This window comes from Homo sapiens, chromosome 17 (genome assembly GCF_000001405.40).
Source record: "Homo sapiens chromosome 17, GRCh38.p14 Primary Assembly".
Lineage (NCBI taxonomy): Eukaryota > Metazoa > Chordata > Mammalia > Primates > Hominidae > Homo > Homo sapiens.
The window spans coordinates 82319149-82334267 of NC_000017.11; the positions used below are offsets into that span (position 1 = coordinate 82319149).

The 15119-nt window shown below is 63.2% G+C and overlaps 1 protein-coding gene across 2 annotated transcripts, besides 7 other annotated features; it reads right to left on the reverse strand.

Moving 5' to 3' along the window:
- Positions 1 to 1875: 1875 nt before the first annotated feature.
- On the reverse strand, positions 1876 to 14811 carry SECTM1 (secreted and transmembrane 1). Of its 2 annotated transcripts, none has more exons than XM_005256392.4 (5): positions 14674 to 14811; positions 7999 to 8144; positions 5434 to 5742; positions 3730 to 3863; positions 1876 to 3222 (listed from the first exon to the last, which is right to left on the reverse strand). In XM_005256392.4, exons 2-5 carry the CDS (start codon positions 8090 to 8092, stop codon positions 3013 to 3015), a joined length of 747 nt encoding a protein of 248 aa, XP_005256449.1. In that variant the 5' UTR covers positions 8093 to 8144; positions 14674 to 14811; the 3' UTR covers positions 1876 to 3012. The 2 variants fall into 2 exon arrangements, with proteins under 2 accessions (XP_005256449.1, NP_002995.1); NM_003004.3 differs by lacking the exon at positions 14674 to 14811 and adding an exon at positions 14552 to 14618.
- Positions 2264 to 2443: a silencer, noted in NCBI's record as "silent region_9209". NCBI's record gives its function as "represses an Ori minimal core promoter by ATAC-STARR-seq in GM12878 lymphoblastoid cells {active_cell/tissue: GM12878}" and the evidence as "EXISTENCE:reporter gene assay evidence [ECO:0000049][PMID:35858748]".
- Positions 2454 to 2603: a silencer, noted in NCBI's record as "silent region_9210". NCBI's record gives its function as "represses an Ori minimal core promoter by ATAC-STARR-seq in GM12878 lymphoblastoid cells {active_cell/tissue: GM12878}" and the evidence as "EXISTENCE:reporter gene assay evidence [ECO:0000049][PMID:35858748]".
- Positions 5797 to 6402: an enhancer, noted in NCBI's record as "H3K4me1 hESC enhancer chr17:80282821-80283426 (GRCh37/hg19 assembly coordinates)". NCBI's record gives its function as "activates a minimal SCP1, AML or CMV promoter by ChIP-STARR-seq in naive H9 embryonic stem cells {active_cell/tissue: H9 hESC(naive)}" and the evidence as "EXISTENCE:reporter gene assay evidence [ECO:0000049][PMID:30033119]".
- Positions 6403 to 7008: an enhancer, noted in NCBI's record as "H3K4me1 hESC enhancer chr17:80283427-80284032 (GRCh37/hg19 assembly coordinates)". NCBI's record gives its function as "activates a minimal SCP1, AML or CMV promoter by ChIP-STARR-seq in naive H9 embryonic stem cells {active_cell/tissue: H9 hESC(naive)}" and the evidence as "EXISTENCE:reporter gene assay evidence [ECO:0000049][PMID:30033119]".
- Positions 12961 to 13245: a silencer, noted in NCBI's record as "fragment chr17:80289985-80290269 (GRCh37/hg19 assembly coordinates)". NCBI's record gives its function as "represses an EF-1alpha promoter that drives an FKBP-Casp9 reporter gene in an ReSE screen in phorbol 12-myristate 13-acetate-treated (for megakaryocytic differentiation) K562 erythroleukemia cells {active_cell/tissue: K562(+PMA)}" and the evidence as "EXISTENCE:reporter gene assay evidence [ECO:0000049][PMID:32094911]".
- Positions 12961 to 13924: a biological region, named in NCBI's record as "H3K27ac-H3K4me1 hESC enhancer GRCh37_chr17:80290146-80290948".
- Positions 13122 to 13924: an enhancer, noted in NCBI's record as "H3K27ac-H3K4me1 hESC enhancer chr17:80290146-80290948 (GRCh37/hg19 assembly coordinates)". NCBI's record gives its function as "activates a minimal SCP1, AML or CMV promoter by ChIP-STARR-seq in naive H9 embryonic stem cells {active_cell/tissue: H9 hESC(naive)}" and the evidence as "EXISTENCE:reporter gene assay evidence [ECO:0000049][PMID:30033119]".
- Positions 14812 to 15119: the final 308 nt, after the last annotated feature.

The following is a 15119-nucleotide window of genomic DNA, read 5'->3' on the forward strand; positions in this document are numbered from 1 at the left end:
TGTGTGCAGAGACGGGTGCGCGTGACTCCATGCATGTGTGCAGAGACGGGTGCATGTGGACACGCGTGTGTGCAGAGATGGATGTGTGTGGACACGCATGTGCAGAGACGGGTGCGTGTGGACACGTGTGTGTGCAGAGATGGGTGCGCATGACTCCACGCGTGTGTGCAGAGACGGGTGCGCGTGATTCCACGCATGTGTGTGCAGAGACGGGTGCGTGTGGACACGCGTGTGTGCAGAGACGGGTGCGCATGGCTCCACGCATGTGCAGAGACGGGTGTGCGTGACTCCACACGTGTTTGCAGAGACGGGTGCATGTGAACACGTGTGTGTGCAGAGACGGGTGTGCGTGACTCGCGTGTGTGCAGAGACGGGTGCGCGTGACTCCACACATGTATGCAGAGACGGGTGTGCATGACCACGCGTGTGTACAGAGATAGGAGCGTGTGGACATGTGTGTGTGCAGAGAGGGGTGCGTGTGGACACGTGTGTGTGCAGAGACGGGAGCGCGTGGACATGCGTGTGCAGAGACGGGAATGTGTGGACACTCGTGTGCAGACAGGTGTGTGTGGACACGCGTGTGTGAGGAGACGGGTGCGCGTGACTCCACGCATGTGTGCAGAGGGGTGCGTGTGGACACACGTGTGTGCAGAGACGGGTGCGCGTCACTCCATGCGTGTGTGCAGAGACGGGTGCGCGACTCCATGCGTGTGTGCAGAAACGGGTGCATGTGGACACGTGTGTGTGCAGAGAAGGGTGCACGTGACTCACGCGTGTGTGCAGAGATGTGTGCCCGTGACTCACACACGGACCTGCAGCCCTGAGCTCCTTCCCCAGAAGTCCCAGCCACAGCAGCCGGTGCGGAGACACGGGTGGGGCTGTGGGGTGGTGCAGGTTTTCTGCTGGGCCGAGGGTCCTGGGGGAGCCGGTTTTCCTCCCCCAGGCTCTCCATAAACGAGAGACAGAGGGTTTGGGGGCAGAATCTTGCGCAGAGACCCTGGAGCACCCTAGCAAGGCTGTGGCTCGAGGCGGTGGGTAACAGCACTTGCCGGAGCAGCCCCTCCTCTGGCCTTTGCTCCATGCATGCATTGGGTCACCAACGTTCACCGGGCGTCTTTATGCCAGCGTCTGTGCCAGGAGCAGGGGGCAGTGTGGACCAGGAGCCCTCCCGCCTGGAGCTGACCTCAGGGAGGCCAGGTGGACAGCCAGCAGGACACAGGGTGTGGGTGTGGCCCTCAAAGGCCAACCCAGGAACGGGCCGTGGGTGAAACCAACTGGGGCCCCGGGGAACAGCATTCCACGCAGCGGGATCAGTAGGGCAGAATCCCTGAGGCCAGAGCGTGCCTGGTGTGTCTGAGGACAGCATGGGGCCGGGTGGGGTTGGGGGCTGCAGAGGGAGACACAGACTTCCACACACGGAGGGGGAAGGCAGCGTGAGGACCAGCACTAAATCCCAGTAGGGAAAACAGAAGCAGAGATAAGCCACCAGGAAAAGATGAAAATCCTCACGGACTCCAGCCCCAGGCTCTCCTCCTGGGTTTCCTGCCTGGGTGCGCAGGGGACATGGCGACCGCACTACCGATTTCAAAGTGACTTTGAGGCTGGGCTCAGGGGCTCATGCCTGTAATCCCAACACTTTGGGAGGCCAGAGTGGGAGAATCGCTTGAGCCCAGGAGGTCGAGCCGTGATCGCGACCGTGTACTCCAGCCTGGGCGGCAGATCTAGACCCTATCTCCAAAAAAAAAAAAAAAAAAAAGAGAAAAGAAAAAAGAGAAAGAAAAACTTTGACCTGAAGACACGCCAATGCTCTTCAGCCTGTGTAGGCAGGTGTGACCCCCGTGCGGGGGTCCCGGGCGCTGTGCCCACAGAACAGGGTCTGACCCAGCACGCGGACGGAACCTTATTTTAACCCGAGACACAAACGCGCCCCTCTTGGACCCTGGCTCCGGCCCGACCCTCAGGGCGGCCGGCTGTGCGAGGCCTCGGTCACCGGGCGCCGCCGCGTCCCTGCGGGGTCTCCACCTGGCTGGGGGCTCCCCCCCGTCTTCATCTCGAGGACGCCTTAGGGACGTTTTGGGGCTTAAAGCCACTAAAGACGTTTCTTTCAGATTTTTGTTTTCCATTTTAAAAATTGCATTTGGAGCTACTTGGAGGTTTGTGAGTCGGTTTGTTTTCTTCATTTCAGATATTCGAGTCATGGAACTTTTTCAAAGAACTGAAGGGGGATTCCCGGTGATTTTTCCACCCCATACAGATGAAGACATCAAAGGGCCCCGCCGCAGTGACGAAGACAAAAGCATGAACAGATCTGGGTCCAAAGAGGCTCGGCAGGTGCGGTGGGCACGAGGGAGCGACCCCCGGGTGGCCGAGGGACTGAGGGATGCGCGTCCAGCCCCGGAGGGCGGCGTCCACCTGACCCCCCAGCCCGAGCCGCCGCCGCCGCCTCCCAGCCCGGCCTGCGCTGCCCCCTGGCGGTGGGGCCAGGAGCCATCCCAGCCTCTAAGCCCCCGACCCTACCTCGGCCCCCGGGGCTGCCGCGGAAGGGCCCCCAAAGCCTGCTCATAGCCAAGGGACAGGTATGTGGCCAAGGCCCCCCACAGCCCTGAACTGGAGTGTGTCTGAGGCTCCGGCAGGGGCCCCCTCACTTGGGCGCGGAGCCCTGGGAGTGGAGAGAGCGGACCCCACACCTGGGGCCGGACCAGCCTGGGGTGGCAGAAAGGGAGTCCGGGTCTGTGGGTTTGATGAGGGCAGAGGGAGGGGCATGCGTCCTGGTAAGTCGGGTGCTGCGGAGGTGAGGTGGTTCCATTTTGGAAACTGAGGAAGCAGAGCTTGGAAGACCTGGGGGGTGGAGGGGAAGGGTCTGCACGCACCCAGGAGTGGGTGACACAGAGGCCCAGCCTGCCAAGCAAGCCGGTGTCTGTGCCCTCCGGGTGGGACGAGAGACCCAGGCCCCGCCACCCAAGGTCGGCACTCAGGGCTGGCTCTCCTGTGTCCTCTCTGCCTTGCAGGCGGCTATGGGTCTGCGGCATATGGAAACAAGGGTTGGGGGGACAGCAGCTCCAGGGCTCCAAGTGGTGAGGGTTTGAACACCAGTGCCAGCGGCCTTGGGGTGGGCTCGGAGTCTGGGGTCCACAGTTCAGCGGAGGCTCTGCTCAGGCCCTGCTGGGCTCCCGCTCTGAGGGCTGCGACCTTCATCTGGGGTTCTAGGAGGAAGAACTTCTTCTGCAGGGGGAGGAAGGAGGTGCCTGTGTGAGCCGCGCGCCCCCGTGCCCACAGCTCTGCCCTGGGGCGTGCGTTCACACTCACGGGCATACGTGCTCATGCACACCCCCACCCCCAGGCACACTCCCAGCCCTCGCCTGGGTTCTGAAACTGCTGGAGGTTGAACCCACTCCCCAAGGCACCCTCAGCAAGAGGCTCCCTTGGCTCAGAAACTCCAAGTTCCGTCCCTGATGGAGACCACGCACCCTGCCATGCTGCCCTCCAGGGAGTCCTGGGGACAGTGAGAGCTTGCAGGAAGGGCAGGGCGGGTCTGGGTGGGGAGCCTGGCTCTGTATTCTTGACCATAGCCGGCTGGGCCCCTGGCGGGGACTGGCTCTCTGGGACCGGTGCTCCCCCCACCCTCTCCTGGAGCCCCAGCAGGTGCAGGACAGTAAGGCTGACCTCAGCCTGGGGCAGCCCCACCCAAGACTCCCCACCCCGCACAAACTGGGGTGCAGGGCCTCCTACCTCCCGGCGTTGCTGGGAACAGCGGCACCTGTACCAGGCGAACATGACCAGAGCGACCAAGAGGATGAAGACAGCAGTGACCACCGCTGGCACAGGCCAGAACCCAGTGTCGGGGGCGGACTGGGGTTCTGCACCTGAAGGAGGCAGTTCAGGGGTGTACAGGTGGGCTGGGCATCCCCCACCCCCTACCTCCTCCGTGTAGCTCCCAGCCTCCTCCTCCTACACACTCCCTGGGGTGAGAATGAGCCTTGGAAGACGGCACCGCCGTTGCCCAGGAGGTACAGGGGTGGGAGGGAGCCAGGAGGAGAGGGGGCGCAGGACCAGAGGTGGAAGGAGACCCAGAGCGCAGGTGTGTCGGGGCAGCGAGGGAAACATCTACCCCTGGATGTGCCAGGTCCCAGGAGCTGCGCGCTGGCCCGGTCCTTCAGGCCTCGGGGTTCTGGGGAAGAGATGCAAGGGCAGGGGAGGGGCCTGCCCTGTTGTGGCCCACCCAGGGCCAGGTATCTGAGGAGCCTCATGCCTGAGCCCAGGAAGGGCTCACCAGATGCCCTGGGGGTGGAGAGCAAAGCGGAACCCAATTTGGGTGACCCGGGTAGGTCGGAACCGGGTGTGGTGAAGGTGGGAGGGCTGGGAGGGGCCGTGGAGGCTCCTGAGCTTTGCAGGAAAGGGAGGGGAGGGGTGGGGAGTGGGTTTGGTGACTAGAGGGGTCAGTGGCCCCGCACGGTGGGGTGGCCGCTCAGGGCCTAGGGAGCAGGTGGGAGGGGCTTGGAGGGCAGAACAGAGGGCCTGGGGGCTGCTCTGCTGGCCACCACTGCTTTCTGGTTGAACCAGATAAGTAGCTGGTGGTGACGGCTGTGGGCCCTGAGTCGGGGGAGAAGAGGCAGAGGGAGCAGTGGGCTGGGCTAGTGGGGACATGAGTGGGTGGTGATCATGCCTGTGTCGGGGGAGCTGAGGCAGAGAGTGGGGCAGCGAGCATCCCCTGAGGGCAGGAGGAGAGGGGTGGGGACAGAGAAGGGTCGGGGGTGGTCCCAGCCCTGAAGACAGGAGTGGCGAGGGCAGGTGTGGTCTAGGTGCTTGTCGAGGTGGACAACATGGGAGTGGGAGTGGGAGGGGCGGGGCAGGACCGTGGCAGCCTGGGAGGCCCCTGTTCGTGGTCACTAAGGGTGCTGCGCGGGCGACCTTGAGCACCTCTGGGTGACCCCAGTAAAGGGAGGGCAGGTGCCTCGAAGCCAGGTGCTGCGGGTCTGGAGGGCCTCTCAGAGCACAGGTATTTGGGGTGCAGTTTCCCCACACAGCCGGGGTGGGGGTGGCAGGGAGGCGGGGGGTGCCTGGGCTTCCTGGCTGCAGGGTGCAGCCCCCACCCCTGACAGGCAGACTGGGCTCCTTTGAGGAGCAGCTTTGTGTTCTGTGTTGTTTGTGGGACTCCGGCTGCCCTCTGTGGGTCCCACCCCACTGTGGGGTCTGTGCCCCCTGAGCCTCCTGCCTGACCCCTGCCCCTCCCAAAGGAAGAACTGTCCCAGGAGGTCAAGAGGCCTCCACCCCAACTCTCTACCCGCCAACCCTGTCTCCTGGCAGCCCGGCTCATGCCTGCTCTTCTTCCTCCTCCTTCCCTCTCAGTCTCAGCCCTCCCCCTGCCCAGGCCCCCTCCCCTCCCCGTGTCCCCTCTCACTCCCCTCCCCCTTGCTTCCCCGAGCCTCCCCTCACCTGAAACCTCCAGCGTGACTTGTCTGTTATTTCTCTGGTGTCCCACGAGGTGCCACATGTACAGCCCAGCATGGGAGTCCCGGGCGCCTTTGATCACCAGCTGTGCCACGCCTCCCTGAACCTGGAGCTGCCAGCCGTCCCGGGAGAAGTAGCCTGGAGCCACCTCATTGAAGATGGCGCTCTCCTGCCCGTGGGCACGCAGCTTGATGTTGACATGGGAGAAGGCGTTGGAGATGTTGCAGGACATGACGGTGTTCTCGCCCCAAGACACAGAGACTACCCCCTCTGTGCAGATGGGGCTGTCCCAGCCTGTAGGGCCAGACAGAGGCACACACGGATCAGGGCTGGACCTCAGGGCATTGGCTGGCTGCTGTGCCCAGGGCCAGGGCCAGGGCAGGAGACAGGGCCTCTAAGGGACACAGTGAACTATGTATACATCCACCCGACCCAATCAGCACATATATCTCGTGTGGGAAGAATAAAATAGCAACAAAAAAGACGGGTGGCTCTGTGTGTGTGTATGTGTGTGTGTGTGCGTGCTCACACCCACGTCTGTTCCTTGGGGTGTGTCAGCTTGGACGAAGGCATTTCCTATCAACTCCCTCCCCTGTATATTTCCACTGGGGTGGGTGAAGTCAGAGCCTCAGGTGTGTGCCGGGCGGCTGCGCTGTGGCAGGAGTGCTGCCACTGACCTGCCGAATCACCCTCCTCGTGGGAAGCAGTGGCCAGGCCCCACCGCCCCCAGCTCCCTCCTGTTTCTCCAAGGCCTAGGCCAGGTGCAGGTGCTCGGCTGCGTGAGGAAGGGCAGGGCTTCTGCAGACACCCACAGGCCAGCCTCAGAGGCAAGCAGAGCAGACATGGGTTCCAGCCTGTCCTTGTGGGGCCCAGCCTGCTTGTGCCACCCCCAACATTCCCTTTCCCCTCCCGGCCACCCGCTCAGCTCCAGGTTGCTGGGCCAGCTCCATACACAGCTCCACAGTCCTGGGAGGTCAAGTCCTTGACACAAGCCGGCGTGTCAGTCTCTCTCTCCCGCCTCCTGGGTGAACCCTGCCCCATAGCGACCCGTGCAGCTGCTTCCCTCAGAGGGTCTGGGGCCTTTGCCCCAGCAGCCAGCTCAAGGATGCCTGAGATTCAGGCCGTCGGGCCCGAGCATGGTACCAGCCTGAGGTCTTGGTGCTGCTACTGTCCCTGCTGCGTCAGCGTCCACCAGTGACTGGACACGGACGGATGGACGGACAGACGGACGGCAGGGTGAGCTCTCGGGGAGCACACAGCATGCTGGTTGGAGCCGCCATTTGGCCACATTTCACCAAATACAAAACCACATGGTGGGTGCCATGTGCTGGCAAGTGCCAGGGGCCTTGGTGCCCATGGGAGGAGGTGGGCTTCAGGGGCACCTGGCCTTCGGGCTGGACTGAGTTTCCTCTGACGAGCAGGCTGGCTGCCTGCCTGGACGCTCTGAGTGTTCAGGGACTGCAGGGCCTCTAAGGCCACTGCACAAATTCACACCGTCCCGAGGGCAGCGGGCGGCTGTCCAGGGGGTGCCCCAGCCCAGTTACACTTTGGAACCACTGTTGGGGGGTGGGGGCAGAATCTCCCGAAACCAGGGTTCTTCCACCTGGGATTCTTCCCTTTCAGTTTTGTTTTGTTTTTTGTTCGTTCTTAGGATTCTGACTGAACTGCTTTGGGATGTGGTTTGGGATGTGGCTGAGCTCTGACATCTTTTAAAAGCCCCTCGGGTGGCTCAGTGGCTCACGCCTGTAATCCCAGCACTTTGGGAGGCCGAGGTGGGAGGATCACTTGAGCCCAGGAGTTTGAGACCAGCCTGAGCAACATGGCAAAACCCCATCTCTACAAAAAATACACAATTTAGCCAGGTATGGTGTGCATGCCTGTAGTCCCAGCTACTCGGGAGGCTGAGGTGGGAGGATCACCTGAGCCCAGGAGGTCGAGGCTGCGGTGAGCTGTGATTGTACCACTGCACTCCAGCCTGGGCGTCCAGCCTGGGCGATAGAGGTAGAACCCGTCTCAAAAAAAAAAGATAAGAAAAGAAAAGCCCCTCAGGTCACTTTGCTGACAGGTTGGGGATCTAGAGAGCTGGGGAGGATCTCACTGGGGGACCCTGTTCAAATGCAGATCCACTCCTGGCAGGCCTGAGGTGCGCCTGACTAAGGAGCCCCCAGGCCAGGGCTGCTGTCTGTTCCCGGCCATGGCACAGGTCGCAACTGACCCAGACCCTCTCCCTTGGAAACTGGTCGTGATCTTGGTCCTTCCCCACAATTGCTCTGACAGTGACCACCAGGTACCACAGCGGGCACCACCGCCCTCCACCCACGGCGGGACACGGCCCACTCACCACCACCCTCCACCCACGGCGGGACACGGTCCACTCACCGCCACCTGAGGCAGCCCAGCTCCACATGGTCAGGCCCTGGGTCTGCAGAGTCAGTCATTATCGGGGGTCTGGTGGCACCTGGACCCAACCTCAGTCCACCCCTCCTGCCCCTGTCATGCCCCCACCGGGCCCCCCTTTCCCCAGCAGAGAGGCGGGGCCCCGAGACCTACCTTCATTCTGAGCACTCAAGGAGGCAGCCAAAAACAGGAGGGTCCCAAGGGCCTGGGAAACGTGGCCAGGGAATGCCAGGGGGCAGGTCTGCATGGCTGGTGGGACTTGGGCCCCTGGTCCTTGTCACTGGCTCTTGAAACACTCCCTGGAGGAAGGAAAGCCCATGGGTCAGAGCCCCCTGCAGCTGCTGAAGGGGACAGCGGGAGCGGCTGTCACCTGGCGGGGGCTGGGAGGCTGGGGGTCCCCGAGCTCTTCCCCGACCTGCTCTGGATGCTGGAGCCCCTGCCCTCCTTCCCTTCCCTGTGCCTGTAGAGGGTGTGCAATGCTGACCTCACGAAACAAAGAAGACACGCGGGGGCGGGAGACAGAGTTGCCCGCAGCACAGCGGGGACCCCATCTGCCTTGCGGGTCAGCCCTTTTGTTTTACAATAAATTACTCGTAACTGTGCCTGAGCATGTTTCCTATAGAAATGGGTCAGGACAGGTGGAATCGTTGGTAGCCGTGTCTGACCTAACACTATACTAAGACCAGCCTCCAGCCCCAGCCCCTCACCAACGCTAAGCATGAAACCAATTTTCCGTCTACCTAGGAGCATGTGTTTGATATCACTGCACACCCAGGGCACAGAGCTTCGGCATTACAATTCTTGGAGCGTGTCTGTCTCCTCGTGGGTCCTGTCCAGACCTCCAGTCACTCACAGAGACCCTCACATGACCAGCACCCAGGGTCCGACTCCCCCAGCCAAGCCCAGCGCTGACCACAACCTGCAGCCAGCGGCCCCCCCAGCCCGTCCACCAGCCCCCCCACCCTGCCCGTCCACCGGCCTCCCCAGCCTGTCCATCAGCCTCCCCGGCCTGTCCACCAGCCCCCCCACCACCCTGCCCGTCCACCAGCCCCCCTCCCGGGGCAGCACTCAGTTGCGTTCCTTTCGAATCCATCGTTTACACCTCTGTGTGTTCCTAATGCGCAAGTCAGCTTTACCTCTGCTGCTCTCACTGGCAAGGCAGGCTGCTGGGCAGCTTCCAGCAGGCGAGCCTCCTTGTGCCATCTTGTCTCAGGCCTGCAAACACTAGGGGCCCCCTAGCTGTGTGGCTCCTCTCCCGCCAGGCAGAGGCGGCTCCAGGGCACACACCCACGGTGCTGGGGGAGGGCCCCACAGGCAGTGATGAGCCTCTCACAGGCCCCAGCGAGGTCGCCGCTTCTGTGCTTCCCACGGGGTCCCCACTCATGCCCTGCATACAGGAGGTGCTGGATCCGTGTGGATCTGGATCCCCTGAGAGTGGCTGGGGGATGAGGGTCCCTGTGTGGAAGCTCCACAAAGCCCCACCTGCCTCCACGCAGGAGCTCAGCCTTGCACAGGAGACTACCCTAACCTAACCCCAACCCTAACTCAGTCAGTCCCGCCGGTGGGGTCTGGGCCGATGCCTGGGCTGGTCAAAGGTCAGGCCCTCACGTGGACCAGGTGACGTGCTTTTGCATGAACCTGTTGACGTTCCTGCTGGACTTTGAAAGGGACCAGGGAAGGGAAAGTGAGGGGAGGCAGCCTGGGTCTGTTCCAGGTGGGGCAGCGGGTAAGGCCCAGCAGGAGCCCTGGCAGGACACGCCTTTCAGCCGAGAGAACTCCACCTTCGAAGGCGGCTGGGGCAAGGGTTCGTGGCCAGGCTGCCCTGCCTCTCGGGTGCCTGCACCCCTGCTAGGAAAAGTCCCTAGGTAGGGCGGCAACTCCAGCCCTGCCTCTCCCAGCTCCCAGTGCAGCCCACACGCCGGAGTGCAGATGACCTGCAGGGAACTCCCATGAGGGAACTCTGTAAAGCGACCTTCAGACGTGCTATTTATAGATGTCTATAGATTTATAGATGTGTGTTTCTCCAAACAAATAAACCACCAGAAAGTGTCACAGCAGGACACGTCACCAACCCCGGGGACCCCATGTTACCAGGGGTCCTCCTGGAGCCTGGAGTCTGGGCCTGCTGAGGACCTGGCTTGCAGACGGGCTCCGGCCTTCTCGTCCCATTGCCCCAAGCGCTCCAACCCCCTGTGAACATGCCTCTAGTCATCCCTGGGCCCTGCACAGCCACAGGCAGCCACCCGGTCATTCCCATACTCTCACCATGGTCCTGCCTCCACGTGGAAGACCCTGCCAGCCGCAGAGTGCAGGTGTGGGGACACTGTCACTGCTGGGAGGCACGTCACCAACCCCGAGGTGCTGCTGAGGCTCAGGGATGGTCCCACATTGGCGCAGGCTGCGGGTGCCGTGTCCTGAGGTCTGGGTTCCCCACTCCAGGCAGCCGCTATGCTCAGTACAAGTCCAGTCCCTTCTGTTGGAAACCCCACCCCACCCTGTCAGGGCTGAGTGCAAGGGGAGGGAACCCACACCTGAGACCTTTTGTGGCCCCTCACTAACACCCCCTTTCCTGCTGTGACCCCTCAGGGCTGCTCAGATGGGCTTGGAGACAGGCTCGGGCCCCATCTCCCATCATACGTCCAGCATTCTAGATTAGCTGGAAGTCCGACGGGGTCTCCCTGGGTTAAAATCAAGGGGTGGGTCAGGGTGGTCCCTTCTGGAGGCTCCAGGCGGAATCTGTCCCTCTCCGTCTCCAGCGTCCAGAGGCATCCGCATCCCTCGGCTCATGGCCCCTCTGCCATCTCCCCACCACTGCCCCCCAGCTGCTTCCCTCATCTCCCTGACTCCCCCTCCTCTCTCCCTCTCCTGGAGACCCTGTGATGGCATCAAGGGCCCCCCTGGGTGACCCAGGACACATGCCCCAGCTCAGCACCCGAGGCTTCATCCCATCTGCATAGTCTCTTTGCCATGTCAGGTTCTGGGATGAGGACGTGACATCTTTGGGGACTGGTAGCCGACCACAGAACCCCCACCCCCAGTGCGGTGGGAGACCCAGGCCACCTGCAGACCCCTGCATGGAGGTGAGGTTCACACAAGGAGACCCCAGGGGGCCTGGGTCCGGCTCCCTCACCCCACGCTCCACGATGCCAGCTCAGCCACCCACCTTGGAACCGTGCAGATGGACAGCAGGGAGGGTCGGGGCTGCTGGGGGCTCCCCCACTGCTCTCCGCACCACCCCGCCGACCGTGTCCGGGAGGGGATGCCCTGCTGCTCTCCCCAGGCTGCTCTGGGGAGTCCTGCCCTCACCTGGAGCCTGGAGGCCATCTGAGTCTGTTTCACAAATGCTTCCAGGGACTGCCCCTGCCATGTGTTAGGGGTGGGAATTCTGGGCACACAGCCAAAGGTCACAGATCCCCAGAGAGCCCCGACAGCGCTGCGTCCACCCCACCTGCCCACCCAGGTGCTGGCTCTGCCACCCGTCTGTGTCCTGAGTCAGCCCTGACTCGGCAGAGAGCTGCACCCTGAGCCAGACCTCAGCAGCTGGGTCCTGGAGGCCCCCAAGGGCCAGCTGCACGCACCTGGCTTCATGCCAAGCTCCTCCCGCCTGGCAGTGGCTGCATCTGCCTCCCCTCCACCCTGAGTGTCCCAAGTCTGCCCGCTGTGCATTCCATGGGGCCAGCAGCTCGGTGGAGCCTCTGCTCTCGGGGGCTACAGCTGCTCCTAGATGCCTCTGCCACCGAGGGTGGACCCTGCAGTGCTGGCTCCTAGCCTCCCTGCCGATTGCTTCCTGAAGACCTGGGGCCCTGGGCTGCAGTGGTTGGGGAGAGGGGGGTGGGAGTGAGAAGCTGGCACTGTCCGTCTTTCTGGCCTCATCCTCTCCATGGTCTCAGCCCCTGGCGGCCTGGACTGCACCGTTCCGGAGATGCTGCCTCCCCACCAAGTCCCTTTAGCCCAACTGTGGTGGCGGCCGCTGCTTCTCACACGCGGGTCCTCTCACTGCCTCTCCCCGGTCCTCCCTTCCTCCCAGCACCTTCACCAGCTCCCCACTGAGTGCCCTCCAATGTTGGCGACCCTGACCCTTGTCCAGCCAGGGGTGAAGGGCGGCAAGGGATGGGCTGGAGGGTACTAGGAGCAGGTGGCGGTGCCCTTCCTGTCGGTCCACACCCGGCAAGTGGCGGGAAAGGTGTGGAATGAGTCAGCCGTGGAGGGGAGCCCTGGGCCTGGAAGACCCCTGTCTTTGGCTTGAGAATGACTTTGAAGGGCTCAGGGGGTAGGGAGCTGGGGGGAGACCGGGAGGAGAGCGGCAGGTCTGGCTCTACCCCGAGGCTTCAGGCTGCGGACCATGCGTGGCCCCAGCTCTGTCTGGGCAGCAGGTGTCAGCGACTTTGGGTTGCTGTGGGAATTTGCTCCGTTTATCAGAAGAAAACGCACCCTGGCAACACAGGCCCCTCTCAGGTCACCAGGCACATCTGGTCACATCTGAGTCTCAGATAAACAACCAATGATGTCCTGGTGAAAGCTTGTCCCGTGGGACACTCGGGACACACTTATATTAAAACACGATTAACGATCTCAAACTCAGATGTTACTGGGTATCCTGCGTTTTTGTTGGCAGCTCTGCCACTCTGCCCGTCTGCCTGAGTCCTCTCCTGCCATCCTCCTGACCAGAGGCGTGGGCTTGAGTTGAATGCCACGCAGTGGCTAAAAATCAGAGAGAGGGCAGGCGGCAGGGCGCGGCCCCAGGGAAAGTGGCCAGGTGGGCGGTGACTGGCCGGGCAGCTCCGTGTGTGGCACAGGGAGACCTGGCACAGGGAGACCAGGTACAGGGAGACGAGGCGCACGGAGCCTCAAAACTTCTAGAGTGGGCCGGGCGCGGTGGCGCATGCCTGCAATCCCAGCACTTTGGGAGGCTGAGGCAGGTGGATCACCTGAGGTCGGGAGTTTGAGACCAGTCTGAACAACGTGGTGAAACCCCGTCTCTACTAAAAATACAAAAAAATTAGCCGGGCGTGGTGGTGCACGCCTGTAATCCCAGTTACTTGGGAGGCTGAGGCAGGAGAATCGCTTGAACCAGGGAGGTGGAGGTTGTGGTGAGCCAAGATCTGGCCACTACATTCCAGCCTGGGCAACAAGAGCGAAACTCCGTCTCAAACCAAACAAAACAAAAAACAAACTTCTAGAGCGGGAAAAGATGGAGGCGGCAATCAGATTTCTCTCAAACCACGAACACAGGGGTCGGTATCTGAGGCGCCGGCACCAGACACGGCAGGGTCTGAGTGCTCCCTGACAAGCGATGATGCGCAGGCTTGGAGCCATGCCAGTGACACGCCTAGGAAAGTTCACGCACCGCCCAGCACGCCTGCGCATGCCTGTTCCCGCTCCCTGGTGCCCCGGGCGCCTGCCTGTCCCGGCTCCCATGGGTGCTGGGTGTGTGGAAGCTCCGGCCCCCTCGGGCTGGGTTCATTGGGGTCCTCCTGTGTGGTCAGTGGACTCTGTACCCCCACAGCACCTGAGGGGTGGCTGACACTGCTTTCCCAGCTGCTGCAGGGGCTCAGGGAACACAGGTGACCCCACGTCTCTACCGAGAATGAGCACACCAACACCTCTCAGAAGACAGCTGCAGCCTGCAGAGGCCATGGACCCCACCCAGGCCCACGGTGTGGACGGCTCTGCCCTGGTCTCTGCTGAGCCAGGCCCAGAGGGGACCCCAGGTGAGCAGCAAAGCCCCCCAGGCCTGGGGCTAGACCGGGCTAACCCTTCCTGCTCAGCACCTGTTCACCTGTCCCCTCTGCTGGTGGCCTCCTGTCCTCCCGCTCTGGGCTCAGCAGCAGCCCCGTGGAGAGGCCCTGCCACCACCCCCGCCCTGCTGGAGACAGGCCTCCTACGCGGGCTCCTGCAGCCGGTCGCCCTGGGCCTCCTAGAAGCCGGGGATCCTCTGCTGACCACCGGCAGAAAACGTGCTTCTCAAGCTGCAGGTGATTCACCAGTAGTGGGCAAGGAACTGAATGTGGTGATTACTGCGGAGTCAGCAAAACCCGCGTGAGAACGGGCAGCTGAGGGCCTGCCGGGTGAGGGAAGCCTCACGGTTCCTGTTTCATGAGTTTGCTGTGAGTGCACACGAGGCTGTGGCTGTGGAGTGTGCAACAGTCCACGCGTGCCTGCGTGTGCTCATGTGCGTGTGTCCACCAGCTTGTGTGCACGCATATGAGCGAGTGCGTTTTGCTCCCAGCTTGGTCGCAGCGACGGCGCAGGGAACCCCGGGTGAGGCCGAGGACCGGGAAGGGAGGAGGGGGCTCCGACCCATCGGACTTAGGGGAGCCCCGGGTCCGAGACGCCGCCTCTGTCCCTTCAAGAGTCGAGCCTGGCGCACAGGGCAGGGACGCGGGTCCCCACACCGGCCGGCAGCTCGTTCCCGCCCATACTCGGGTACGCCCGCTGCGACCCCGCCCGCCTGGCCTGCGACGCACGCTCAGGGCCAGCGGGGGGTGACGGTCCCAGAGGCAGAGGCGCCGCAGCCCCAGAGTCCCCATCCCTGCGCGGACCGGCAACCCCAGTGCACCAAGAGGCCCTAACACCGAGCCCCCAGCACCGAGTCCCCAGCACCGGGCCCTCAGCACCGAGTCCCCAGCACCGAGTCCCCAGCACCGAGTCCCCAGCACCGAGCCCGCCCCTCTGGTTCCCCCGCCCGCCCCTCTCCGCGCCTCACCGGGTCCGCTCCTGGACGCGCTCCTCTGGGATGCAGCTTCTCCGCGCCCCGGAGCCCCAGGAAAATGAAAGACACGAGAGGGAGGGGCCAGGGAGGAGGCGGCGGACCCGCGCGGGACCCACCTCCCAGATGAGGAAGGAGCTGGGTTTACGGGAAGCCTCCAAGTTTCGGGAACCACCCGCGTTCACAACAAGCGTGACGGTGAATTTATTATTTTCACGGGAGGCACCGCACCCGCGGTTCACGCTAAAGGAAGCAGGAAAGCCGCCGGGAGCATTTTTCCAGGAGAGTTCGTGCCTGGGCGGGTCCAGCTCGCGTGCGGCGCGCGTTCCCCGCGGGGCTGTTTGGCTCCGCTCCTGGAGGCCTCGAGTCTGTGCACGGGGCGAGCTGGGCGGGCCGAGTGGGCCGCGGGGAGGGAGGGCGGGGGGCGGCCCCCAGATGCCTGGGAGTGCGCGGGCAGAGTGAGCTGGACCCCCGGAGGGTCAGAGGCCCTTTCATAAAAGCGCGCAGAGCAGAGGAGTGATGTCCCCCAGCTCCCCCGCAGAGGGTCCTGCACCTGCGGCCTGGG